This window comes from Homo sapiens, chromosome 15 (genome assembly GCF_000001405.40).
Source record: "Homo sapiens chromosome 15, GRCh38.p14 Primary Assembly".
NCBI lineage: Eukaryota > Metazoa > Chordata > Mammalia > Primates > Hominidae > Homo > Homo sapiens.
In genome coordinates, this window is record NC_000015.10 from 100710521 (window position 1) to 100738114 (window position 27594).

At 51.1% G+C, this 27594-nt stretch overlaps 1 long non-coding RNA gene across 3 annotated transcripts in view, besides 5 other annotated features; it reads left to right on the forward strand.

Annotated features, from left to right (window-relative positions):
* Window positions 2537-3736: an enhancer, noted in NCBI's record as "P300/CBP strongly-dependent group 1 enhancer chr15:101253262-101254461 (GRCh37/hg19 assembly coordinates)". NCBI's record gives its function as "activates an origin of replication core promoter dependent on BRD2, BRD4, P300/CBP, MED14 and CDK7 cofactors, with strong dependence on P300/CBP, by STARR-seq in HCT116 cells {active_cell/tissue: HCT116}" and the evidence as "EXISTENCE:reporter gene assay evidence [ECO:0000049][PMID:35650434]".
* Window positions 2537-3883: a biological region, named in NCBI's record as "P300/CBP strongly-dependent group 1 enhancer GRCh37_chr15:101253262-101254461".
* Window positions 3050-3883: an enhancer, noted in NCBI's record as "H3K4me1 hESC enhancer chr15:101253775-101254608 (GRCh37/hg19 assembly coordinates)". NCBI's record gives its function as "activates a minimal SCP1, AML or CMV promoter by ChIP-STARR-seq in primed H9 embryonic stem cells {active_cell/tissue: H9 hESC(primed)}" and the evidence as "EXISTENCE:reporter gene assay evidence [ECO:0000049][PMID:30033119]".
* Window positions 3884-4717: an enhancer, noted in NCBI's record as "H3K4me1 hESC enhancer chr15:101254609-101255442 (GRCh37/hg19 assembly coordinates)". NCBI's record gives its function as "activates a minimal SCP1, AML or CMV promoter by ChIP-STARR-seq in primed H9 embryonic stem cells {active_cell/tissue: H9 hESC(primed)}" and the evidence as "EXISTENCE:reporter gene assay evidence [ECO:0000049][PMID:30033119]".
* The window catches only part of LOC105371024 (uncharacterized), a 116308-nt gene continuing 94252 nt past the window's right edge, over window positions 5539-27594 (forward strand). For 2 of the 3 annotated variants that reach the window (XR_932726.3, XR_932728.2), the window contains exon 1: window positions 5539-5851. This is a non-coding gene — a long non-coding RNA (uncharacterized LOC105371024). Of the gene's footprint in view, window positions 5852-20907; window positions 22965-27594 lie in introns of those variants that run through there. The other variant, XR_932729.3, reaches the window with a different exon arrangement.
* Window positions 11279-12478: an enhancer, noted in NCBI's record as "BRD4-independent group 4 enhancer chr15:101262004-101263203 (GRCh37/hg19 assembly coordinates)". NCBI's record gives its function as "activates an origin of replication core promoter dependent on BRD2, P300/CBP, MED14 and CDK7 cofactors, and independent of BRD4, by STARR-seq in HCT116 cells {active_cell/tissue: HCT116}" and the evidence as "EXISTENCE:reporter gene assay evidence [ECO:0000049][PMID:35650434]".

Sequence of the window (27594 nt, forward strand, 5' to 3'; positions counted from 1 at the left end):
ATGGTGGAGGTGGAGGTGGTGGGTGTGGGGATGGGGGTGGAAATGGGGGTGAAGGTGGAGGTTGAGGTCATGGAGGTGTTCGTACAGGTGATGGTAGAGTGGTCATAGGGGAGGTGGTGATGATGAGTGCAGGACATAGTAGGAATTTCTGATTCGTGTCTGCATGGATTCATCATGATAGAGAATGTAGAATGATGGTAGGTTTGAGACCAGGATGGAAGTTAAAAAATAGCTCATTTGGACATGCTGAGTTTGATCGCAGAACAGACACAGGATGTCCTGAAGAACTACCATGTAGGAACTGAGGCTCAGGGGAGGGTTCTGGGCTGGAAACACGGACTTGGGAGTCAACAGCCACAGAAATGGACGGAACCCCTGGAAAAGTGAGCAGAAGGAAAGACAGGTTGATGTCGGGCCCAGGTTACGATGTGCTCTTTAAGCTCTAGTAGGAAGGGGCAGTTGTGCCTCTGAAGTGTTAAATCTATCGGAAAATTCCTGAGTATAAGATCCAGCGGTGCAGTTGCTCATGCTCTTGCGGGAAGGAGTGCCAACCCAATTCCATCTGAACCAGGATCGGCCTACCCACTGCTATTCCTCACCGTGGTCATCACCGCCTCCTCCACAAGCACCATCACCACAAGCTCTACCATCTCCACCATTGCCGCCACCTCCACCTCCACCCCTACCTGCCCTGTTGTCATGGACCTAAGGGATTAGGTGCATGCTTTCGTCCCAGTTGCTCATAAGCAGCCACTTGGTGGAGAAAGATGTGTGTGCAATTTGGGAATGGCAGAACCTGTATCTTGGATCCCTTGACTGATCTTGGGTTGACAGTTAAGAGGGCTGGGCTTGTCTCTGCAGATGGCTGTGTTGCTTCCATGCTAACTGGGCTTGGGTTCGGATTATACGGTTTCCCTTCCTCAAAGCCCTTCAGGCTGCACTGCCCTCAGCACAGCGTTAGTAGCTCTGGCACCTTGGGTTGTTAGATAAATGTTCCAGCAACTCGAATGCAGCCAAAGACCACAAGCTGCAGGATGCCTGGCACGTATCTGGCCTCTTCAAACTTTGATAAATGAAGTGCCCATGTCTCACCGTCAGGAGGGAAGGCTGGGGTTGTTGGGGGTGGGGTTCTGTGCATCTGGGTTTGCATATGGCGTATGAGTGGCTTGTGATATACTTGGAGAGATCACAGGAAACAAGCCAGCAAGCACACAGACATTGCAGCCATTGCGTTGAGGCTTTAATTACAGAAGGCAGAGTTTGTTTTAAGCTAAAGCAGTTGTGCTTGGCTCTAACTTGTGTGTGCAATGTCCAGGCTTCAGAAGAGCCAAACGTCTTGAAAATCCCTAGTAGGAAGACAGAGCTGAGGCACAGGTTGGGACTTACGTCATCCTACGGTAACAGGGAAAAGGCAAGAGCTTCAAGCGGTGCCTATGGGGTGGGGGGAGCTGCTTTGTCCAGGCTACTGCCAGCTCCTTCTTGATCCCCATTAGAGAAAAGACCTTCCCCAGACACCCCTTTCAGAGCCCCCTGTTCCAGATAAGTAGATATCCAGGGTGACTTGGACCCCTTCCATTCCTCCCTGAAGTGCATCCTCCACTGTCAGCTTTCACAATGGAGCTGCTGATTTGTCAAAGGCAAGGAGAGATGGTTGTTTGGTATTTATGTAGAAAACAAAAACAGGCCAACCAAACCCTCTAGTTTGCATGAGTGGTGTCCTCCTGGCCTTGCTGGTGCTGATGGGGTTTGGCCTGCTGAGGTTCTGTGCCTGCAGTGCTCGAAGGAGCAGGCGAAACTTTGCCAGACTCCATCCCCACCACACCCCGTAGGCCACAGCCGGAGGATCCTCTCTCCAGGCTCTGACGTCACTCGCCCCCAATGTCCAGCTCCCAGGCAGCTTGAGAATGTGCATAAGCCTGCATGTTGGGCCTGAAGCCCAGGGAAGCGGGTGGGGTCCCAACCAGACCACATTCTGGTCTCCCCTGAGGCCACTGGTGCCCACCCGGCCAGGCCCAGCCTTGCTCCATCTGAGGGCTGTGTGGGAGAAGCTGGAGTGGGCATGGCTGTGTGGGCCAGGGAATTTCTGGAATGGTCTCCAGAACTCCTGCATGGACAGAGACCTGACCCTCACCGGCAAATGGAAGCAAGATGACCTTGTAGCAGAAAACGGGCCTCTGCTTGGTTCCTGTTGGAAGCCTCTTCCAGCTGTGGCATTTACTTATTTATTTAGACAGAGTCTGGCTCTGTCGCCAGGCTGGAGAGCAGTGGTGCGATCTCGGCTCACTGCAACCTCTGCTTTCTGGGTTCAAGCGATTCTCCTGCCTCAGCCTCCCGAGTAGCTGGGACCACAGGCGCCTGCCACCACGCCCAGCTAATTTTTGATTTTTGGTAGAGACAGGGTTTCACCATGTTGGCCAGGATGGTCTCGATCTCCTGACCTCGTGATCCACCCGCCTCAGGCTCCCAAAGTGCTGGAATTACAGGCGCGAGCCACTGCGCCCGGCCTATTTAATTTTTTAAAAAGGAAATGAAGATGAAGTGGTTTTAACAGACCTGCTTCTATTTAAATGGATTTCCAACTACCTCCCTCCCTGGGCAGCGTTTCCCGCAGCCGGCCTCACATACGAATCTCAGTGGAGTATTTGGTCGACCGCATTGTACTAGGAATCTCTGGATGCTAGAGTTTACGGTGTGATCATTTTGGGGTTCCTGGCTCCTGCCTGTCCCCCACGGCTGGCCAGCAAGCCTCATGGCCTGGTTGAAGGAGCAGAAGCCTCGCTGTCAGACAGACCTGCGTTCCTGTACTGGTTCAGCTGTGGAGCCCGGGCAGGGAGCCTCGCCTGGTCTGTTTATCCGTGTCTAAGTTGGGGATGGGCATGCTTATCTGGGAGGCTGGCATGCTGATAAATTAAATGCCATTGTATAGGCGCAGCTCCGGCAGGCCCCAGGCACCTCGTGCACTTTATAACGCTGGCCTTGGCACGGAAGGGGCTCAAAGCTGCCTGAAGCCTGAAATTCCCTCAGAAGGATTATTCCTGGTTTCATAACTGCCTATCAGGAAGCTGCTCCTACAATGGTGTTTTATCATTCTTCCTCCCATCTCGCCAGCCAGGCCTATTCATAACCCCAGAGGATTCCTCTGCAGTGACTCACCCACCATGCTCCTCTCCCTAGGAGACTTCATCCTCACGCTACCTGAATCACCTGCTGGTATCGTGGCCTGGGCTCACCTGGTGGCCTGGCTCTCACCTTGGCCGGCCCTGCCCAGGTGCCTGCCGGTGCCGCCAGCCCAGGCACGATAGGATTCTGCCAGCTGGAGAGGCAGACGGAAGCCAAAGAGGGCTAGGAAAAACCGAGTCCCAACATGAGGCCAAGGTTGGCAATTATCTATCTAGATGGACACTTCAGCCCAAACCACAGTGGGCAGCTCAGGGAAGGGCTGGCATGACTTGAAATGAAATGACATCTAAGGCTCTCTCCTGGCTGGCAGATCCACTGGGATGTTCCTTCAGCCAACAGGGTACCAGGCAGTGGTCAGGGAATGGGATTTGAGGCCAGGTCTACCCAGGCCCCCTGGGAGCACGTGCAGGTGATTCTGAGGTCCCAATGGCGCTACCCTTTCAACAATCCGTGAGGTCCCTAGCAGGCTGTATGGAGAAAGGCCCCCAGTGAGGCCTCCTCTCTCTTCAGAGGGCAAGGCTGGCTGCTAGGACAGCTACAGAGAGAAGGGCTCTGTTGGCCTTGCAGGCAGCTCGCCTCACTAGCTAAGCATCACTTGGCCAGGCTGTGTGGCACTCATTTCAGGTGGGAGATCGTGTCTGGTGTCCCCTGCTTCCCTTTGCACCATCCCTTCCAGCCTCGAGGCTTCAGCCTAGAGACCCTCAATGGCTTTCCTCTTTCCTCCCACAAAATGCTCTGAAAAAGGCAGCAAGAAAAGCCCCTGCCTGGTAGGAAGGAGGTGGCAGGCATGAGGGGGAATCAGCATTTTAAGCCTTGTCTTTTCTGCACAACACTTAGCTTCCCTCCCTGCACAAGACGTAGGGCCTGTCCCAGGGAGAGAGTTCCCTGGCATCTGCCCCAGGGTCAGAGGCTGGGGAGTGTCCTCTGGGCTCACCTCGGTACTCCTCAGACCCGGCGTCTGACCAGCCATGCTCCCGCGGGCACGGCCATTCAGCTTCTTCCACCTCTCTGTCTTCCTGCTTTAAAGAACCATGTTTAAACATTCAGGTGAATTTAAATTGATATTATCTCAAGAACTTCACATGACCCTTGAGAGGACTTGAGGGGTGTTGCAAAAATGGAATCTAGTTGCTGCCACCCTGGGAACCACGGGAGCAGCCCCGGGAGACAGACCCCTCCCGGCAGGCCCTCGCCATGGGGATGCTGGGGGTGGCAGGGTCTGCCTTCCTTGTGTTCTTTATCTTAACAGAAAAACGTGGAAGAAAGGACACTAAAGTTTGCCAGGCACCTACTCAACATGTTTAAGTGACTGGCCCATTTACATCTTTCAATGTCCCTCCCAGCAGGTATAATAACCACGGCCAACAACAACTGGCAAGAGTGAAGTGCTTGCTGTGAGCAAAGCCCTGTTTTAAGCCCTGCGTGAAATCAGTTGCTCGCTCCTCTGAACAAACACATGGCAGGTTCTTCAGTGCTCTTCAGTTTACAGGAGCGTTAGGTGACACACTCTGACACAGGGGAGGTGGCAGTGCTGGAATTCGGCCCCCGGCCATCTGGCTCTGTCTGAGCGCTCGACCCCTTCATAGCTCTCTCGTCAAGTGGCTGAGTCAGGATTTGAACCCAGATCTTGCTGAGGTTTTAAATTCTGTCACGCTGCCTCTCAGGAATAAGGAACATTGTCTTTCTATTGTCCTCCCAGCCTCTGCTGGAGAAGTGACAGGTCCCAGCTCAGAACATCAGGTTCTGGGGGTGCGAATGAATGGCAGGTGGAAAGGGACCGGAGGAGGGGCAGGACTTAGTGGGGAAGGGGCTTCTGTGCTTGTGCTGCCCCCTGGCCCACGGCAAGACCCCTAGCTTTTACTGTGCTTGTTAACTCAGAGGCTCCTGGAAGGATCAGTTGCCCTGATGCTGAGAAATGGGCTGGGCAAGGCAGGGGCAGGTCCCCAAACAGCTTCGCATACCACAGGCATGGGCGAGAGGCCACTGAACTTCTCTATGAAGCTGCAGCCAAGCAGGTGGCTCCGTGTCCCCTCTTCTTCCCCATCACCCCTCCCTTGACCGTCAGTGTGAGAGTTTGTTGAGGCGCCCGTCTCCCAACCAGCCCAGAAGACAGAAGGCCTGGTTCGATCTCACATGCTGGCACAGAGCCCAGCAATCAGTAAATGTTTGTTGAAAGAATTAATGAAACTTGAGTGTTTACCAGACAGAGGCCATTGACCCCTGGTTGGAGGCCCATCAATCTGACCTTCTGTCTTCGAGTGGGGACCTGGTTAATTATTCTCAGGAGACCCAGTGGCCCTTGGCACTGAATCCCTGGCTTCTTGACTGTCAATGACAGGGCTGGCCTGGCCTGTGGCCACTGGCCTTAGGAGCAGGAGGCCGAGCAGCCAGGGCTGCTTTCCCATCGCTGTCTCAGCTGCTCCCGCTGGCCTTCTGCTCAGGCTGGTGTCTCCTTGGCCGGCTCCCTGCTTCTCAGCTCATGCCTCCAGCCTTCTGGACTCTAGGATCACATGTGGCTGCCCACCTCGGACAGGGTTGACTAGAGGTGAAGAGGTGCCATGCACTCCAGGAGAAGAGCTGACTGGATCCTATACTCAAAGAATGGGCCACGGATCCCTACCTGTCCACTGTTTGTTACTGGGCTGGGAAGCTGCAAGACCCGATGCTGGGGGTAAGAGTCTAGAAACATTTGAGCACTTTGACACTGACACGATGCCCAACAGGGATCCATAGACTTGACTTTCTGAGCCACTCGGGCAGAGATCAGTTCAGTAAGGACGTTCACCTCAGATGGCAGGGTAGGCACTGGGTTAGAAGAGGAGGCCTCAGAAATGCATTTTCCCTGAAGGTCTCTTCTGCCCCTTCCTCGATGAAATCCCATATTGAGGCGGTTCCAGGTTCTTATTCCAGCTCCGTCACCTGCTAGCCATGTGGCCTTGAGTGAGTTCCTGAGTGCTTTGGTTTCCCAACTGCTGGCTATCCTGAGAGTTAATTGAATTAACATAGAACCAGGCCTGGACAATAGTAAGCTGTGTACTAGTGTCTGTTCTTGTCATTCAGGAGCATGTCCAGCTCTGTCCCAGGCACTCAGAGGCACAAACTCTACTTGAGACGCAGGCCTTCACGTTGCCCTTTGGGAAGCAGGACGTGTATGCATTGGGACAGTGCTGTAGAGCAGGACCCAGCAGAGGAGGTGCTGCAGAAGGACGCATGGTTTGTGAGCCAGCATCCTTCTCTGTGACTCCTCAGAGGGGCCGAGAGAGAGAGATGGGCATCGGAGATGGATCAAGTTGGGAGTGTGCAACACAGTGTTGAAACTGGAGTAAATATGGTTTTTGAAGGGGACTAGAGGGAATTGGTCTCTTTGATGTGTGTGTTTCTATTAAGGAGCCTGGAAAAATATCAGATAGGGCCCAACTATGGAATTATAAATGCCAGGACTTTAGATCCCATAAGCAATGGGGTCAGGTGGAGGGCATATATGGTTTCAGTGACGTGAGCACAATGGTGATTAGGCAAATCATTAGCGGGTGAATTAGTGCTTAGCACGTAGTATGTGAATGAGCGAGTGAATGAATGAATGAATGAGTGAACTGATGCATTCATCAGAGCTCTTTGAGTTGTGAGTAAAATAATCCCTACTCAAACTGGTTTAAATAAAAATAAAGGTGGGGGGATTATTGGCCCCCATAACTGAAAGGTGCAGAAATAAGTGGATTTAGTGGCTCAAATAATGTCATCAAGACCCCCTCCCTCCCAGCTGGAGAGCGTCACATTTCCAGTAACTCCCAAGTCCTAAAATTTGGTCTTTTTGGCCTGGCTTGGGTCCTGTTCCCAAGGAAATGGAATAGGTTGTTTGGCTATACTTGAGTTGTCTTCCTGCTGTCAAGTAGCTGGGGGTACGGTCACCTTGGGCTAAGACAGGTGGAGAGTGGAGGAAGGTGAGTTGTCCATGGGGAAACCAGGAGCTATTGACAGGGGAGGAGGTGTTCTGGGAAAGCATGGATGCCAGCTCTGCATTGCAATGGGCACGCAGCTGGAGGCCACAAGGCCAGAGAGGTGCTGAAGGCTTGGATGAGCTTGGAGCTGGGGATGACAGCTTACTGAGCCACAAGGACTTTCCTGTCAAGTTATCTTGTAAAAGGCCAAAAGGTTTGAGATCAGACTGACCCAGGTTTTAGGGGTGGAGCCTCAAGGGTATCTTCTTGGTGGCAGGCCTGAAAGAAGGACTGGAGAAGGCTCAAGAATAAATGTGTGTACTTGTTTCATTGAGCTTTCCCCAGAGGGAAGAGGGAATGGACTAACAGCTCCATTTTGGTCCTGTTCCATGACAGACACCTCCTAGACTGCCAAGTGAGAGTGCCAAGGGGGCAGCTAGAATAAGAGTACGGGTGGTGAGGCAAGGTCTGGAGACATCCTGTTGGCATCCTCAGAGTACAGAAGGTATGTAAAAGCCATGAGGCTGAATGCGATCCTCTGAAAAGAGAGATGAGGAGGAGAAGGGACCCAGGGCCAAGGCAGCGCGCTGCAGTGTTGAACGTTGGTCAGACAGGGCGAGGCATGGGTGGAAAGTGCAGTTGCAGGAAGCTGAGTGGGTGACAGGCCTAGGAAGTCGGGAGGGGAAGGTATTAAAAAAGGAGGAGTGGACGGACGACTGTGACCAACGCCGATAGGGAGAAAAAAGTGTCTACTGGATTTGTGAACAAGGAAACATTGGTGGCCCTAATAAGGGAGCTTCCACGGAGCTAGGGGACAATAGTCAGGCTGGAGAGAGTTGAAGAGGTATGGATCGTGGAGGTGGGGAAATGGAGGCAGCGTGTAGACAGCCATTTTGGAGACCCTCTGTCGTGAAGGAGGGCAGAGAATGAGATGAAGAAATGGGGCGGAGGGTGTGGTTTTTTCAGGTAGAAGGTGCTGGAATCTGCATGTCCAAGGATGATCCAGTGTACAGGCTGAAGGCTATGGTGAGAGAGGGGAAGGGCCAGAGGGGCAGGCGCAGGATGCCACGAGATGAGGGCTGGGGTAGGAGAGCAGGTCACAGTTCCCAGGACTCAGACGTGCTTCCATGGGATGCAGGAAGTGAAGGGAGGTCCCTTCACTTCTAGTGTTTCACGCAGGAACCAGGAGGTGAGGGCAGCCCTGTGGGTGGACCAGGGGAGGAGACAGCATGAGATGGCCTCAGAGAGCAGAAAAGTCAACTCCAAGGAAGGGATTCGGGACCCTGAGCAATGCTGAGTGCCCCTGAGTCATGTTCTAATGGATGGAGGCAGAACCAGTCGTCCTGGTTGGGAGATTTTCTCTGGCAACAACAGCTATGTGGAGAAGGCAAATGGCTGCGTCCATTCAAGATTAGGGTCAGTCATGGGGGTATAGTACTCACAGTGCCAGGGTGGGCAGGTCAGTCATGGGGGTATAGTACTCACAGTGCCAGGGTGGGCAGGTCAGTCATGGGGGTATAGTACTCACAGTGCCAGGGTGGGCAGGTCAGTCATGGGGGTGTAGTACTCACAGTGCCAGGGTGGGCAGGTCAGTCATGGGGGTGTAGTACTCACAGTGCCAGGGTGGGCAGGTCAGTCATGGGGGTATAGTACTCACAGTGCCAGGGTGGGCAGGTCAGTCATGGGGGTGTAGTACTCACAGTGCCAGGGTGGGCAGGTCAGTCATGGGGGTGTAGTACTCACAGTGCCAGGGTGGGCAGGTCAGTCATGGGGGTATAGTACTCACAGTGCCAGGGTGGGCAGGTCAGTCATGGGGGTGTAGTACTCACAGTGCCAGGGTGGGCAGGTCAGTCATGGGGGTGTAGTACTCACAGTGCCAGGGTGGGCAGGTCAGTCATGGGGGTGTAGTAATCACAGTGCCAGGGTGGGCAGGTCAGTCATGGGGGTATAGTACTCACAGTGCCAGGGTGGGCAGGTCAGTCATGGGGGTATAGTACTCACAGTGCCAGGGTGGGCAGGTCAGTCATGGGGGTATAGTACTCACAGTGCCAGGGTGGGCAGGTCAGTCATGGGGGTATAGTACTCACAGTGCCAGGGTGGGCAGGTCAGTCATGGGGGTATAGTACTCACAGTGCCAGGGTGGGCAGGTCAGTCATGGGGGTATAGTACTCACAGTGCCAGGGTGGGCAGGTCAGTCATGGGGGTGTAGTACTCACAGTGCCAGGGTGGGCAGGTCAGTCATGGGGGTGTAGTACTCACAGTGCCAGGGTGGGCAGGTCAGTCATGGGGGTATAGTACTCACAGTGCCAGGGTGGGCAGGTCAGTCATGGGGGTATAGTACTCACAGTGCCAGGGTGGGCAGGTCAGTCATGGGGGTATAGTACTCACAGTGCCAGGGTGGGCAGGTCAGTCATGGGGGTGTAGTACTCACAGTGCCAGGGTGGGCAGGTCAGTCATGGGGGTATAGTACTCACAGTGCCAGGGTGGGCAGGTCAGTCATGGGGGTGTAGTACTCACAGTGCCAGGGTGGGCAGGTCAGTCATGGGGGTATAGTACTCACAGTGCCAGGGTGGGCAGGTCAGTCATGGGGGTGTAGTACTCACAGTGCCAGGGTGGGCAGGTCAGTCATGGGGGTATAGTACTCACAGTGCCAGGGTGGGGAGGTCAGTCATGGGGGTGTAGTACTCACAGTGCCAGGGTGGGGAGGGAGGTAAGGGTTACGATGATGGAGGAGGGTGTAAAGAAAGGGAGGGAGAAGGTGCTGAGGGTGGGGATGGGAGGACTGGGGAGAAAGTGGATTGCAGCCATGGGGACATTGAGTGGGTGAGCTGGGAGGACCCTGTGTGGCAGCCACAGAGGGGATACTGGAGATGGAGACCTTGGATGTGGGGAAGCTACTGGCAACAGCAGGGTGAGACCATGGGAGTGTTGGGGGCGGGGAGGAGGAGGACAGCTCAGGCGCTGGGGAGGTCAGGACCTGGCTCGCCATTGAGAGAGACAGTCTGCCATGTGGTGACAAGAGACGAAGCCAATGAGCAGCTCAAGTCTGCCCCGAAATGAAGGTTGATGGACCACAGCAGCGGGGAGAGGAAGCCAGTGGCCAGGAGGAATAGAGAGGTGTAGAAGCAGCCGTGGGACACTCCCAGCTTCCAACCCACCCCCAACTTTCTTACACCAGCAACCCTTCCCCTCCTTGAGAGGCTGCAGGGGAAGTGGGGCCCTCAGGGGAGGGGGCAGCCAGGTTCCCGCACAAGGAAGATTTAGAGAAGAGGTGGAGGAGATAGGAGAGTTCCAGAGAGCCTGGTGACGGGTTTGGGGTGGGGAGGGAATGAATGGGGAGTCAGGTCACATTAAGGAACAAATGAATGAGCTGCCAGTGAATGAACCGCAGCAGTGCCACGCTGGTTAACTGGGAAGAGGAAATGTCAGTGCTGTCATGCTGTACGCATTCCACACCATTGTTCATTGTTGCTATGCTGGTGCCAGCAGGGCGGTGGGCAGATGGGTCTTGTGTGTGTGTGTGTGTGTGTGTGTGTGTGTGTGTGGCGTGATGTGCCTCACCGGTGTACATTTCAGTTCTTGGTAATCCTGTTTTGAGTCTCACAGAATCTATTTCCTCAAGCCGTTTGTATCCTTATTTATGTAAGTGACTAATTCTTTCATGGGTAGAGCCAAGCTTTCTGTCTCAGTTACATAGAGATACTGAGACAAATTACTCATGAACATTCCAGAAAAGATGAGTATCTACAAATTATTGAGACAGTTTCAATATGTAAATAGTATTGTTGAATACGATTTCTCACAGTTATCCAAGTTAGATTGGATACGGTAAGTGGGTAATTCCAAGCTAGTTATCCCCTTTACACATGGCATAGTGCCCCATCGTTGGGTCTTCCCAGCCTGCCATGTCCACGTGGCCGGGATGCTCCCAGGAGCTGCTGGGGAAAGGAGGGCGGGCTGCAGGCTGTGTCTTGAAGGCTGAGAATTTAACGCCGCTGCCCTCGATGTGCCATAGCTTGTTGGTAGAGCAGTGTCCATTTGAAGGGAGGTAGCTCCTGAATTTACTTTATTTTTGCAATACCCTTCTGAGGAGCTAATTGGCCCTAATAAACCTTGCAGAACATAAGCCCTGCCCAAATGGGGAGAACCACCTGCTGTCAAGAGTCAGCCAGCTGCAGTATCAGCCCCTGAAGAGGACGAGCTAGCAGTGCTGATGTCAGGGAACTTTCCACTCCTCAAACCGACAGGAACAGGACCGTGAGCACAAAACGTGAACACGGACCAGAACGAGTTGGCATGCAGGACTAGGTTGCCTTGACGACTCTGAGTTCTGACAGGGAAATACAATGAGTTTTATGTGGACAGAGTTCCACGGTCTATTGCAAAATCAATGTGCTGTTTGAATGAATCATCACTTCCAACCATTGGTCATTGGTGTCTGAATCTTGATTGCAGATGAAGCACTGAGTCATGACTGTAAAATGCCACAGTATTTATGAAAACCAAGAAGGTTTTTTATTTATCCTGACTAGCTAAATCAAGGTAGGTCATCCTAATAATACTTGTCCACACAAGTGGCAACCCCTTGCCAAAGAAATGCAAACAGAAGCCTGGGATGTTTCCAGCTCTCCTTAACTTCCTTCCCCGACCTCCCTGACACCAGCCAATGGGTCCTTTAAGAAGTGTGAGAGAGCCAGTAGATGGTAGGCCCCCGCTTCAAACTCGCCATCTTGTCCCTTGATCCAGTGACTATACCTGGAATTTGGCCTCTAAGCGAGTGTTTCTTTTTGCACTTGGACTTCTTGAGAGATTACTCATTACTCAGGAGATAACACCAAAGCATTCTCAAAACCAATCTTTGGAACTGGCTTCCAGGATTATACATGCAGGATTAGTCATACAGAAAATCCTTAAAGATAGCAAATTTGGGTCCTTTGAGAGTGTATTTGGTTTGTGAAAACAAAGCCATTGGTAACCAAGCCAAAAGCAAACATGTGATTCTAACCCATGAATTCAGAATTTTTCAGGCAGCTGACCCTAAAGACACTTTTTTCAAACAGGTGACTCCTTTTCATTAATTCATTAATCAGTTGTTGAGATAGTGAAAGAAAAAAGAAACTGAAAGAAATCATCATTACCAGAAATACTTGGGTTCAAATTCTAGCTCTAAAACTTCTTAGCTGTGTAACTTTGGGCAAGTCACTTAACCCGTCTGGGCCATATCTGAAAATTTTCCCTAAGGGAAAAAAAAAACTAAGGTTATTGCTCTTCCTTTTTGCTGCTTCTCCTCCTCTGAGTTGAGGCTCCTTTCCTGATGGAACATTGCCTTCATTCCCCTCTTCTCCCTCTACCCAGGGGTGTATTGGTAAATTGGAACTCTGGGGAAAAAAGTCACAAAGCCCTGATCTGTGGCTTTTGCCAATTTCTGTGGTGTACATACTTCCACCATGGCTGACTTTAATTTCCCAACAGTTAAACAACAGGTTCACGAAGTTCTTAAATATTTAACAGCTGGGCCCTGTGGACCATGGGTGCTGGCTGCAGCATGTCACACTGCCTCTACCCTCTCCCCTTTCTCCTTTTTACTTTCCTGAGAGCATGGTGGATGTCGTCTGATATAATTTCCATCCATGTCTCTGCTTTTTATATTTAACCAGCTTCCAAAAATAGTTTCCTTACTTCCATTAGTTCTTAACCAGGGAGTGTGCTGGAATTCAGGTGGTCTGGTCACTGCCTCTCATCTTCCCGAATTCTTCTTGGCCATATCACCAGCAGGAATTTTCAAAGGGGACACAGCGCTCTTTGTTTTTTAAAGGGCTGTGCCAATTTGCCTTTGGGTTTCCTCATTCTATCAGAGTAGAGTGCTGATCTAGTACCTGTATAATTCTCCTTGGCAGAAGTGCTCAGGGCTTTTTTTTTTCTTTTCCTCATCTAATCGCATTCCACTTCTAACAGCCTGGATGAGTTGTGCAAACCCAAGAAATAAAGAAAAGAACAGGCAGTTCTGATATCGTCACAGGGCCACTTAATGACATGGGCATCAGAAGGAGAGAGTACCATCCACAGACATTCTCAAAGCAATGCGCCTGACGCATCAGAAGATCCTCCTTGTGGGGCCAGACTTAGGCATCAAAAACATCCATGTATTATGATCTCACTCTTGTGAGAAGGACCTCTCAGCACCCAAAGGTCAATAGTGATATTTACTGGGCACCTACTATGTCACAGACTATTTCATTTCGGCTCCCCCATAGCCCTAGGCAGGTGGAATCATTATTCTTGTTTTCTAGTGAGGGTATGTCACATGCCCAGGATTGGCAAAAGAGTGGGGCAATTGTCCTGCTCATAAGTCTTGGTGGGAGTGTATAAGTTAACATAATCCTCCAAAAGGCAATTTTGCCCTACATCTCAAAGTCTTAAAAATCTTCATCATGGCTGGGCATGGTGGCTCATGCCTGTAATCCCAGCACTTTGGGAGGCCAAGGCAGGTGGATCACTTAAGGTCAGGAGTTTAAGACCAGCCTGGTCAATGTGGTGAAACCTCATCTCTACGAAAAATACAAAAATTAGCTGGGTGTGGTGGCAGGCACCTGTAATCCCAGCTACTCAGGAGGCTGAGGCAGGAGAATCGCTTGAGTTCGGGAGGCGGAGGTTGCAGTGAGCCGAGATAGTGCCACTGCACTCCAGCCTGGGCAATAGAGTGAGACTCCATCTCAAAAAAAAAAAAATATTTATCATGTCACTTAATTGTGTTAGCCAGGATAAGCTCACTTCTGTAACAAACAACCCTCAAATCCTAGTGACAGAAGAAAGCAGGGGTTGGCAAACTCTCTGTATGGACTGGGGGGAAATACTTTTAGGCTTTGCAGGCCATACGGTCTTGCAACTCTCACCGCTGCTGTTGTCCTGTGAAAGCAGCCACAGATGGGATGTAAATGAACTGGCGTGACTGTGCTCCAATCAAACTTTATGTAAGGGCACTGAAATTTGAATTTCATATAATTTTCCTGTGTCACAAAATCCTATTCTTTAAATCCTTTTTTAAAACATAAAACCTGGCCGGGCGCGGTGGCTCACGCCTGTAATCCCAGCACTTTGGGAGGCTGAGGCGGGTGGATCACGATGTCAGGAATTCAAGACCAGCCTGATGAACATGATGAAACCCCGTCTCTACTAAAAATACAAAAATTATCCAAGCGTGGTGGCGCAGGCCTGAAATCCCAGCTACTTGGGAGGCTGAGGCAGGAGAATCGCTTGAACCTGGGAGGTGGAGGTTGCAGTGAGCTGAGATCGGGCCTCTGCACTCCAGCCTGGGCAACAGAGCAAGACTTTGTCTCAAAAAAAACAAAACAAACAAAAACAAACAAACAAAAAAACCCATAAAACCCATTTTGAGCTCACATACAAAAGTCCATACAAAAACAGGCAGGCGGCTGGATTTGGCCTGCAGTCTGCAGTTGGCTGACCCCTGGCTTAAAGCACTGGAATTTTCTTTTCACTGATGCAGTGGTCCCACATGGGGGATCCTGGCTGGGCTGGAAGGCTCTCCCAGGTGGCTCTTATTCAGTGGCAACCCAGGGAAGGGACCCGCGGTGCTTCTGTCCTGTGCCCTGCCCTCTCTAGTCCTCAGGGGCTTCCCTATTCAGCAGGCAGATGGAGAGAGGTCATGGAGTCTTGTGTGGGAGGTTTTCATGGATGGTTTGGAGGTGGCTCCCGTCATTTTCCCCACATTCCTTTGTTGGAAGTCAGACATGCAGCTGCTCTGAACTGAACAAGAGATGGGAAACAGAGTGTAGCAGTGTGCACAGGGAGACCCCGGAGCAGTGTGTTCACTGACCAAAGACCATGCCATGTTCACATGTATTTCCACGCTGTAGCATGACTACAAAGGTACAGGCGGGAAGCTAAGCTGGCCTGGAGGGACTTTGCAACAATGGCTGAGCCTGAGTGAATCACATGGACCTGAGCCCTGGGTGCCCCTCCACCTGTTCTTGGGCCTGGATCCTCAAGGTCATCACTGCAGTGCGTGGTACCATGCAGTGAACTCTGTAGAACGTTTCGGCCTCTTCTGTTGCACCTTGGGGACATAGCCACAGAGGCCAAGGCCACAGGTGGGCTGGAGACACTCCAGTGGCACAGGGCTGACCCCTTTGGACTGAGTAAACCCAGAGCTCCTGAAGTTTTGGGTTAAGGGGAATGGGATCGGGGGTGTGGGGAGCTGCTAACAGGGGCAAGTGGAGCCCCTGCTGAAGCAGCCATGCCTGGAGGCTGCCCCACAAGAACAGACAAGCTGCTTTCCACCAGCTTCTGTCAAGGGATGCTTGCAGAAGGAAGAGAAGCCAGGAGGGGCCAGAGGCAGCCTGGGACTCATGGTTGTTCCTAAAAGGGACATGAAACTTGACCTCCTAAATGAGGCCAGCCCAGAATGGATCAGAGGTCACAGATTTCTTGAAAGCAATCAGAGGGAAGTAGCCTATACCTGGTTCCATTTGGGCACTGTGGCCTCCCAGGCCTCCTGCGGACTCTAAGCTTGGGAAGTAGGCAGAGGGCAGGGTGGTCTATGTGGTCACTCCTCATGGCGTGGACCACCAGCCAGCCCCACCGCATCACCAGGACCCGCATGTAACCCTCCGGGGATGCCTGCTGCAGATGGGGCCCAGCTCGTGATACACTTGGGAGAGATTCATGGTTTACCAGGCCCCATGGGTGTTTTCAGGGGCTGGGTTGGGGTGGGGGTGGGTGGTGAGCAGTGAGAGAATACTCTCTCTCTAGGCGATGCCAGAACTTCCTTACAGGGAATACAGGAGCCTTAGGGATAGCAGGGCTCCAGTTTCCCAGCCCTCACTGACTCACCATGGGGCTCAGACAATTTGCTGAAACTCCTTACGTCTCAGTTTGCTCGTCGGTGGAATGCGGGCAGAAATGCCTCACTAGTGCACTGTGCATGTGCCCTGCCCACATATGCCCACCCTGAGTCCAACACACACTGGGCCTGCCCTAGTATGCATGGGCCTGCCGGGTGGCTGCCAAGGGTCAGGGCCTTGCAGGACACTCGAGATCCTGGGCTTGGGGCTGCAGTCTGGAATGCGGAGGAGGGCTGTGGTCCCCCAGGCTTCCTGGGGACTCTGAGCCTGGGGGAGAGTAGGAGGGTCTCTATGCTCCCTCCTCACTGCGTGGAGCAGCGGCTTTGCTGGGCTTCCTTCTACCATCCCCATTACCCTGATTTCATTCTTATCCCATTCCTTTCCTCCTGGGAAGGCCTGGAATGATGATATGTCCCAGTGCCATAGAGTAGCACGGATACCAGCACACACACAGAGTACTCGGCATGAACCCGGCTCTGTTCCACTGACGCTCACTTGTGGCACCCTCCCAGCATCCAATAAGGAACATACTGTGACTGCTGCCATTTTAAAGACGAGAAAAGCGAAGCACCTGAGAATGTCTCTTTTGACATCTAAAGAAACCAAGTAGAGAGAGATGAATGGACTCCCCCAAGGTCACACTGTGATAGCAAGAACAAGAATATTCTACCATTGAATGTAGGGCCTATTGTGTTATGGATTATGGAAAATTATATCTAATTTTCAAAACAACCCTGTGTCAGGGGCATTGTTCTCATTTTCTCAGTGGGGACACTGAGTCCCCACGGGGACTCGTGGTCAAGGACACACAACTGTAGATGGTGTGACCGGGATGACTCAGTCCTCACTCTGCAGCCACCGTTCCTAGCTGCTTCCGGGTGCTAAATATGCCAAGCCTGATTCTCTGTTTTCCAAGGGTGTCAGGGGACCAGGGCCAGGGCTGCCCTGGAAACTATACCCACCCCGGGGCTCCTTTGTCTCCCTCCAGCCCTGCCTGTTGCAGAGTTCAAAGCCCTCGCGTGGCTTCTGTGGACCTGCCCTGACGGCTCTCCCCTCGGAAGGAGAACCTGATTATCCCGGTGTTTCACAATGGAGATACCAAGTGCTTGACTTGCCCGCCCTCCCACGCTTCTGCTCCTCCGGGGCAGGCAGGAGAGTCTCAGCTCCCCGCTGCTCCCACTGCGGGGAAGACCAGCGTACTTCCAGAGTTTCCCAACTTCCCGGGATATCAGAGAGGGGTGGATGCAGGTGGCTTTGGAGGATTTTATTTACTAACTGCGTTTAAATTCATATGCCAGTGAGCACGGCCTGCTGGAATCTGAAGGCGTTTGGACGAGTTACATTCCTCCCTGGACCTCAGTCTCCCGTTTCATTCATAAAGAGAGAATGACATCTGACACGTAGGAGTAACAGGGTGTGCCTGGCAGGGGAGGTCAAGGGGATGGGAACACACTTAAATATCGACATGTGTAGAGGAGGGGGAAATGACTTCCTTCCACCCCGCTAAGTTTTTGGCTGGGATACAAATTAAGTTGACATAACACAGATAAACAAGAGAAAACCATTTTAATTACACATATATGCATGAGAATTCTACAAAATACAAGACTTCAGTAAGGGTCAGAGAATTGAACCTTATATACTGAGCTACAGAACAGAGGCTTGGGACTTCCAGGGTCGGGGGATGGAGGTGGCAACACAGGTTGATGGTAGGATGAGGGAAGGAAATGTATGGTGAATAAAGGTTGTCTTGTTATGCAGATAAAAAGTCCCTCAGGTCATAAAAGTTATCTGGGAGCAACCCTCTTCCTGATAGAGATACTTCACTAAGCTAATGTAGATTTCCTTTATAGATGAAAAATTTCTTTTACAAAAGGACGGCTTTTTCAGAGCTACTAGCTAGTCCTAGTGCAGACACCTTCTTGAATAACTAGACCAAAATACGCCAAGAAGTGTATTTGGAGGTGGCACATTTTGGTCTCCTATGGTCATGTTTTGCGGTGGTGTGTCCTGAGCCCCATCAAATGCATCATGTGACCTTGACGTTTTCAGGCCCCCTGCCCCAGTCCAGACCCTTCCCACCAGCCTTGCTGGAATGGAGCTCTGAGGCTGGGCTCCCGGAGACATGGCTGTAACCAGATTGGAGACCAAAAGCTGGAGGCGAGCCCTCCGACCCAGCCTACCTTTTGGGGGCTTCACACAGTGACTGCCAGGCCCTCCCATGAGGAGAGGAGTCCTCCCTCTGTGGAAGGTGCCACCACTGTGCCTTGCTGGTGCTTGCTTTGTGATAGGCAGGTGTGGAATTCCCAGCACAAGCCCTACGTGGGCCAGGAAAATCTCCCCAGTGGGGCTTCGAACTGAGAAGGGAAGTGTGCTCCAAGAAGTCTGTGGTCACCAGCCAAGCCCTCTAGGTGAGCCCCGAGGGAGCCTGCCCTTCCTCAGCTGCAGCCAGACTGACTGCATCCTCCAGCAGGACGCCAGATAGCTCTCAAGGGAACCACCCAGATGGCTTCCCTTCCTGTCGGGCTCCCAATCCCCACCAGATGATGTCCTCATTCACCAAGTCTCGGGGTCTGCAGCAAACACGTGCAACAGGTGTGAGCTGAGGAGCTCGGGGATGCGGTGAGGGACAGCCCAGCCTCCACCTGGTGGGGCGGACAGAGGTGGACAACCCAGTGGGGCACATTCCTGAGGCCTGAGGAGCAGGGCCCAACGGATCTTGGTCGTTCTCCCCAGCATGTCTATAACATGAGATTTTATTATGTATTTACTGGCATGTTGGCTTTCTTCTGCTCCCTCTCCCCACTAGAAAGTAAGATCCAGGAGGAGAAGGACCTTATCTGTTTTTTGTTCTTTGCCACCTGTGAGTTATGTTCCTCCTGACTCACGGCTGAATACTGGCCCCCAAAGATACCAGGTCTTCACCTCTGGAACCTGTAAATGTTACCTTATAAGGAAAAATGATCTTTGCAGATGTGAAGGATTTTGAGATGGGGAGATTATCCTGGATTATCCAGGTGGCTCCTAAACCAAACAGGTGTCCTTATAAAAGAGATGCAGAAAGAGATGTGACACACACAGGAGGGAAGGAGGCCGTGTGGCCACGAGGCAGAGACTAGAGTGATGCAGCCACCAGAGGCTGGAAGAGGCGAGGAAGGGCTTCTCCCCTGGTGCCTCCACCGGAGGGTGGCCCTAACAACACCTTGACTTTGGCCAAGTGCTACTGGTTTCTAACTTCTGGCCTCCAGAACTGTGAGAGGATACATTTTTGTTGTTTAAAGCCACCGAGTCTGTTGTGATTTGTTACAGCAGCCCCAGGAAATTAACAAGCTGCCATGTATCTCAGTGCCTCGTATGCTGCAGCTAGTAAATATTTGCTGAAAGAATAGGCCAGGCGCGGTGGCTCACACCTGTAATCCCAGCATTTTGGGAGGCCAAGGCGGGTGGATCACCTGAGGTCAAGAGTTCGAGACCAGCCTGGCCAACATGGTGAAACTCCATCTCTACTAATGGTACGGAAATTAGCCAGGCATGATGGGGTGCACCTGTAATTCCAGCTACTCAGGAGGCTGAGGCAAGAGAATCACTTGAACCCAGGAGGCAGAGGTTGCAGTGAGCCAAGACCACGCCATTGCACTGCAGCCTGGGCTACAAGAGCGAAACTCCGTGTCAAAAAAAAAAAAAAAAAGAATAAACGGATGTCCCTATCCACACCTGCTCTCCAGGCCAGCTCATGCCTAGCCATGGCTCAGCCTCTGGTGCCTGCCACCCCAGCCTCTGTGTCCTGGGTGGTTCTGCCCTGCTGGCCTGCAGCCACAGGCTGAGACTGTCTACCAGAAGGTTCATGTCTGAGCAAAGCCAATGCACTCTCCTTGCAGAGCCACTACCTCTTAGACAACGTTGACAGCAGAGGCCACAACAGACAGCCTGGGGGCCGCATCCAGTCAGCAGATAATTTTGTTTGGCCAGTATAGGGTGTTGTTTATAAATTAAATTACATGCCGATATTTTATTACAAGTTGGGAAATTTCACATAAAATCAGAATTTCCCATTTCTTGAAAATCCAGATGATCTTTTCAATTCCAGGATGCATCTCCATGTGGCCCAATCAGTGGGAGCTGAGTGGTGGCTGCCCTTTCTGCCAGGGCCTGGGCTCAGCGCTGACCAGCAGGGTGCATGTCAGAGGACTCCTCCGGCCCCCTTTCTGTTTACACACCTACCCCCATGTTTGAGATGGATGATTCAGGTGTTCTCAGCCTTGCAGACAGTCAAGACAACCTCAACCAATGCCCTCCCCGGCCGACTTGACTGTTGCCCAGCACAGCCTTTATAAAGATTCTAAAGTGACACTGCTCAGGGGCACTGTTAACCCTCAGCGACCACCAGCCAGGAAAGTGGCCTTTGGGGCCCAGGGCCCACTGAAGGTGCTGGGAGTCACCCAGTTGTTTCCTGGGGACAGTCTTTGCTCTCTCAGTCAGTGGGTAGCAAATTTCCAGAACCACCCAGGCTGACCTCCCACATGGCTGGGAAGACAGCGTGATGGCAGCATCCTCATCTGACTTCCCGAGCACTCTCAGGCCCACTCACACAGTAGCTCCAAGGAACCAAAAGCACTAAGGAAAGGAAAGAAATGACAGGAAAGGAATGGAAGTGAAACCCTGGGGGAAAGCCCACAAGGAGGACTTTCAGTTCACTTGGAGAACACATGGGCCTCAAGTCTCCAAAATGGTGACTTAGGTCTGAAGTTCAAGTGCACATAAGGCTCTGTGCAACCACTTTTTTTTTTTTTTTTGAGATGGACTGTCGCTCTGCTACCCAGGCTGGAGTGCAGTGGTGTGATCTCAGCTCACTGCAACCTCCACCTCCTGGGTTCAAGCGATTCTCCTGCCTCAGCCTCCCCAGTAGCTGGGATTATAGACATCTGCCACCACACCCGGCTAATTGTGCAATCACTTTTTAAACAAGCAGATTGTAGGATGGACATTGGTAGGATCTGATTCCATCCATCTTAGAGGGGACCCGGAGAGCTGCATTTATGGCAGGTTGCCCTGGTGGTTCTCACCCAGGGCAGGGGCGGCAGCAGGCAGAGCCGTCTCCTCTTCTCCAGGCAACGGCCACAGCAGTAGAGGGGCTCAATCTGACAAGGAGAGTGAGTCATTGAATGAAGCCCCGAGGACGTGATCTGTCGCCACAGCTGCCATCCACTGGGCTGCTTTTGCAAGCTTTCCCCAGAGCTTGAGAAAATGAATGAATTTAAAACATGTGTCAGGGCCTTAATGAGACTAGTAAACTCCTCAGAGTCCTGCTCTGGTTAAGGTTTGTTAATTCTGTAAGCCCTTCTGACCAGGGGCCTCTAGCACTGGAGGATGAGTTGAGGAATACACTGAATTAGCAGAAGCTGTGTGACTTTAGGCAAGTTGCTTAACCTCTCTGAGCCTCAGTGTTTTTACCTGTAAACTGGGAACAACAATTGCCTCAAAAGGATAGTGCAAAGATGAACAAGGATGAGGAACATGGATGTCCTCACTGTCATTAAACAGTCATGGGAGTTGTCACATATGTGCCCTATGTTTTAAGCATAAAGTTGGGAGATGATGTCTGAAACTGGGGCTTCCACATCCTTGCACTGCTTTGTGACTGCTGGAGGTTCAAGTCAGGGCAAGTTGTCACCTCCCAGTAATGGTGATCCTCTCAAACAGGCAAAAAATAGAAAAGTGTGCAAATGGGGTGCATTTATTTTAAGGACATGGGGAGCCTAAAGGAATGGACAGCTCAGGAAGACCTGGACCCAGGAATGGGAAATCCAGAGAGAATCCAGGAAGGAGCCTTTCCCCTCTTTCTTTCTGGGCCCCCTTCTCTCATTATCATTTCCCCGTCCACGTGGCTCTCTAGGCAGACCAAAGGTCAGACCTTAAAGAGACTCTGTTCAACCTTGAACTTCCTTGCTGACATGTTTTCAATTCAAGTGTGTGTGACAAATCCTATCAGGCATTTCCAAGTCCCAACCCCAAATCCCCAGGCCCAGCTTGGGGGTCTTCATCCCCAGTCCACCAGCTGCGAGGAAGGGGTCTCGGCTCAGCCCCAGCATGCTGTGTTGGTGGCTCCCTCCCAACAGGGGTATCCTTAGATGAGAAGCAAGCCTAGTATCCATAGTGCTTTTCTGAGAGCAGGTGAGCCTTGTTGAAGGCCTCGGGCAAAAAAACAAGCCAGTGAGAGTTGTGTGCACGGGAATAGCAACAAGGTAATATAGGAGAAAGGTCACAGTGGCTTGGAGATGAATTCCAGGACACAGCACTGCAGGAGGGACCATGCCCCTCGAGGCTTCTTATATGTGGTTCCTCAGTTCTTGGCTAAGTTAGGATCCCTGGGCTGACCAACACTGATGTTTGTACCTGGAGCCAAGTCATATTTTAGGCCAATTCTTTCATTCCATGAGAACTTGTCATCAGATTTTCCAGGAAGAACATAAACCTGCCATTATATTTTTGTCTGTTTGGAAGCTTCTTTTGCCCTCTAGAAGCCCAGTGCTACCAAATCCCATGAAGAGTTTGTGCTGGGTTCAGACCCTGTTCAGTACCCCATTCTCAGCTCCATGGGGGGAAGCTTGCAGCTCTCTATTGATGAGAGTCTTGGCTCTCTGCTGTTTCTTGGGTATCTTTTTGTGACAAGGATGGCTGGTGCTGGCACGCACTGTAAACGAGGAGGGGATGGGCCTAAGTTTCCATCACGCTGCAAAGCAGAACCATCTGTTGGTGGCTTCTCTGTTAGCCCGTGGCTGTGAAGAGAGCATTTAACAATGAAGAGCTGGGGCCAGAGACACGAGTCCTTGGCTCCAGTTCCTGTTTGTCTCCAGGCTGCCGCATTCCACAGAAGGCAGTAAACTGACATTCTGAGAATGTTTGTCTCTGCCAGCCAGGGCTTGGCTAATCCTGGTGACCTGCAGCAGATTCCCCACCAAGAAGACATCCAGTGGAAAGACAGGTATGAAATCCCTGGAGCCACAGGCTTTGCACACAAAGACTTGGTGCAGACATCTCCTTGAACCCTCACGATACCCTGAGAGGAGGTTAGGTGGCCATAGAACTAACAAGGGCCACCAGGTTGCACAACCTGAGAGAGCATTCACACTGCTCTCTCAGTGAAAAGCATCTCCTGGGGTTGTGATGCAGTAGACAACCTGGGCAGCTGTATGTGGTGGCCTGTAGCTAATAATTACTAGAGCCAAGTGAGGTTTAGACTTAGGTTCTTGGACTCTAATTTTGTTTTCTTTCCTTTGCCGTGTCTTATATAGGGTTGGCTCTTCTATTGTACCTCACTGGATTTGAAAAGATGCCTGACACCCAAACTCCCTAATACTGAGCTTCTTCATTTGTAAAATAAGATCAAAATATCTAATCCTTTTGACTGTTGTGATGAGAAAATGACCAAATGCAGAAAATATGCCTGACTCATTGGCCTATATCTTAGTGAGAACTCTGGTGATACGGTTTGACTCTGTGTCCCCACCCAAATCTCATGTTGAATTGTAATCCCCAATGTTGGGGGAGGGACCTGGTGGGAAGTGATTGGATCACGGGGGAGGATTTCTCCCTTGCTGTTCTCATGATAGTGAATGAGTTCTCACAAGATCTGGTTGTTTGAAAGTACGTAGCACTTCCCCCTTTGCTCTCTTTCTCTCCTGCTGCCATGTGAAGATGTGCTTGCTTTCCCTTGCCCTTCTACCACTCTCCACCAATTTCCTGAGGCCTCCCAGCCATGCCTTCTGTACACTCTGTGGAACTGTTAGTCAATTAAACCTCTTTTCTTTATAAATTACCCAGTCTCAGGTACTTCTTTATAGCAGTGTGAGAATGGATTAATACATCAGGCAATAAAGGCAGCTATTACTGTTATTCCTGCTGCTGCTACCATAATAATATAATATTCGTTGTAATTATTATCTTTCCAATATAAATGAATATGTTGCCCACCGCTCTCAGGGCAGTCAGAGTCTAAGGCTCCTAGCTCCACATGGGCACAGATTAGGTCCTCCTATCTTCTTCCTTCTTTCCTCAAGCAGGGGAGACCCAGATCATACCTAGGGGGTTGGTGTGATGCTGCGGGAACCTAGATCAGCTGAGGAAGGAGCAGCCACTTAAATGAAATGACATGAGAGCTCCTGGCACCTGGCAGCCCATCCTGCACCTGCATGTTTTGCAGGTGTTAATGGAAATTCTTTGCTTTCTCCATTCAGCTGAGTGTGTCACTGAACCCCTGGCTCCCGATTGTGCTTGGAGCAGGGCCTGGTACAAAAGCGCCACATGCAGTGAGTGAACAGATGGAGGAATGAGTAAGTGAGCAAATGTCAGGGCCCCCTCAGCCCAACTTCAGTGCCACACTGTTTTATTTCTTCTTTCCGGCAAATACTTAGGCTGTGTCTGCTTTGTGCCAAGCACCATGGCCAGGCTGCGGCACTACAGCAAATCCCACCTGTCCTTGACCTTGGCAGCTCAGGCCTGCTCTGCTCCCCTTTTCAAGCCAGTGGGCTGTCATTTTTTTGCCCATTTTATCAGTGGCAGCCATGATCCAGGTAGCCAAGTGTTGACACCACAGCTGTCCATACAGCTCTCCTGGCTTTTGCCTACATTTTCCTCTGTGCCCTCTTGCTGAGAGCCCGGCCAGATCAGCTCCACTCCATCTTTGTGGTGGCCGTGAGTATTTTTGCCCAGCAGACCCCTGGGCTTAGAGGATGTAAGGGCCCAACCCTTGCCCTGGGTTGTAGAGAGGGAAGTGTCTTCTGAAGTAGAGACAGAAGAGCAGGCAGAAAAATGCACAACTCAGGACAAATATTAGAAACACATAAATATGCACATAGCCACTTACAGCTGCACCAAGTCACATGTATATGGGTGAGAAGGCGCCCCAGGGTGGGGGATGAAAGTGACTAGATCCAGGTGGCATCGATCCAGGGTCTTCTCCTGCCACCTCTCTTCTTTTCAGCTTCTTTTGGGTCTTCATGCATTGAGCCTTCAGCGCTTGCTGCTTGACTTTTGACTTTGTAGCCTGGCCTGGAGGCACATCAGAGCCTTCTCCCATCACCCCTTGTATGCAGAGAACAAGGCACATTGCTGCCAACTATTCCAGCTGAGTGGAGTACAAATACAAAATGCAAATGCAAAATACAAAATGCAAAAGCAGTGAAGCTAGGGGTCACAAACACAGAGGCTGGTAGCATCAACACTTGATGTAGATCCAGGCTGGGAGTAGGCATCAGGGCAGAGTGGGCACTTTGGAAACAGTACCCAGGCTCGGTCTCAGCCATCCTCAAATTCAAGCATCAGACTCCCTGCAGGGCTTGTCAGAACACAGAGTGCTGGGCCCTACGCCGGAGTGTCTGAGGCAGTGGTTCTGGGGTTGAAAACGTGCATTTCTCTTTCTTCTTTATTTGGATTTGTTTGTTTGTTTGTTTGTTTTTGTTTTTGAGACAGAGTCTCACTCTGACACCCAGGTTGGAGTGCAGTAGCGCAGTCTCGGCTCACTGCAACCTCCGCCTCCTGGGCTTAGGCTCCCAAGCAGCTGGGAGTACAGGCGCATGTCACCATGCATGCTAATTTGAAGTTTTACTTTTAATTGACAAATAACAATTGCATATACTTATGGGGTAAAATACGATGTTTTGATACATGTATACATTGTGGAATGATTATATCAAGCTAGAGTAACACATCCATCACTTCACATATTTGTCGTTTCTTTGTAGTGAGAACATTTGAAATCTATTCTTCTAGTAATTTTTAAATATATTACGTTATTACTGACCATGGTCACCATATCATACAATAGATCTCAAAAACCTAGTCCTCCTGTCTGGCTGAAACTGTGAACCCCTTTGGTCAACATCTCCCCATCCCCATTCCCCGTCCCCAGTCTCTGGTAGTTACCATTCTACTCTCATCTTCTGCAAGTTTGATTTTTTCAGAGTTCACATTTCTTTTTCTTTCTTTTTTTGTTTTTTGACAGAGTCTTGCTCTTTCACCAGGCTGGAGTGCAGTGGCGCAATCTCGGATCACTGCAACCTCCGCCTTCTTGGTTCAAGCAATTCTCCTGCCTCAGCCTCCCCAATAGCTGGGACTACAGGCACGCACCGCCATGCCCAGCTAATTGTTGTATTTTTAGTAGAGACAGGGTTTCACCATGTTGGCCATCTCTTGACCTTGTGATCCACCCACCTCGGCCTCCCAAAGTGCTGGGATTACAGGCGTGAGCCACCCCACCCGGCCTTCAGACTCCACAGTTCTAACAACTGTCCAGGTGATGTGGCTGCTACTGATGAGGACCACGCTCTGAGATCCACTGCCCTGTCTGAAGGGGGCGATGATTCCTCAGCTCCAGCTCCCAGTTGCCCTGGGGAATGCAGCCTGGAGCTGCTAAGTCTCCCAATTTTTCAAGAGAGGCCAGAAATACAGATCTTAATGTAAAATGTTTTAACTCTTAAAATTTCCAAGCAAATTGAGAAAAAAAAATCAAAATTTGTTAGAGACTAAGTGTCTGTAGGCTGGATTGGACTCCCAGCCTTCCACTTTGTGAGCTGTGTGTTGAGCGCCTATGGGTGGGGACCCCTTACCTCTTGATGATATTTGTGCCCCTTGCCACGCGTTCCCCGGGAGCTGGGAACCTGGGTAGAACCTTTGTGTTATCCTTGCCCCTCACTGCTTACAGAACCAATGAAGATTGGTTGGCCTGTTTTAGGAGCCTCTGCCGTGAGAGGAGAACAAAAAGGCCGTCCATTTTCAGAGGATTACCGCAGACTTCTCAAACCACATATAATTAAATGGTGGAGTGAACCCCTGCGGGGAACCTTGGGCTGGGCTAGCAAGAAGCCTGGCGAGTCCTGCCAAGTGGGCGATTCAGAGGCCTCTGCGGTCACAATAGTCCCGACAAAATGACAGGCAGCTCAGCTTTCAGAAAACATGAGGTGATCTGAAGGCAAGTCAGGGTAACAGGATCTCTCTCCCCATGCGTGGGATTGTGGAGCAGTTTACACCTTTCTACAGCGCGTCTGGCATCGGAGGCAGGGCCTGGAGGCTGGAACTCCCTCTTCCAGACCTTTCCTTACCAACTTTTCTGGTTCTACTGCAGAACAACAACAAAAACAATTAATAGCTCTGAGGATATCTAGGACTTTTGGGGTCTTTGAGCTTTACTTTCTGTTGAGTGACGATTACCTCCAGGGAAGCAAACACACCAGATATGACGATAGTAGGCCACCTCCTTGTCCCCACTACACACACACACCAACAGGGTACTGAGACATCTTATCGCTAGAACTGAATAAACCTCAAGACCTGTCTGATCAGCTGTGCAGAAATCAATCATTAGACTCATTTTACAAAACAGCTTAATTGAAGACTCCTCAATTCTACATTATTTTTAGCCTCACCTCGTTTGATTTTCAGGATGTCCTGCTCCCAGCCTTTTGGAGGGTCACAGTGGTCAAATGTAAAATGTTCCTAGGCCCGGAGATTAAGGTTTAATACTGGTTTCTGTTCAGGTGAAGAAACGGAGGGAAGCTTCCATCCTTAACTCAATGAGTAAACTGCAGCTGGGGTACGGGGTGCCTCGCCTCACTGTT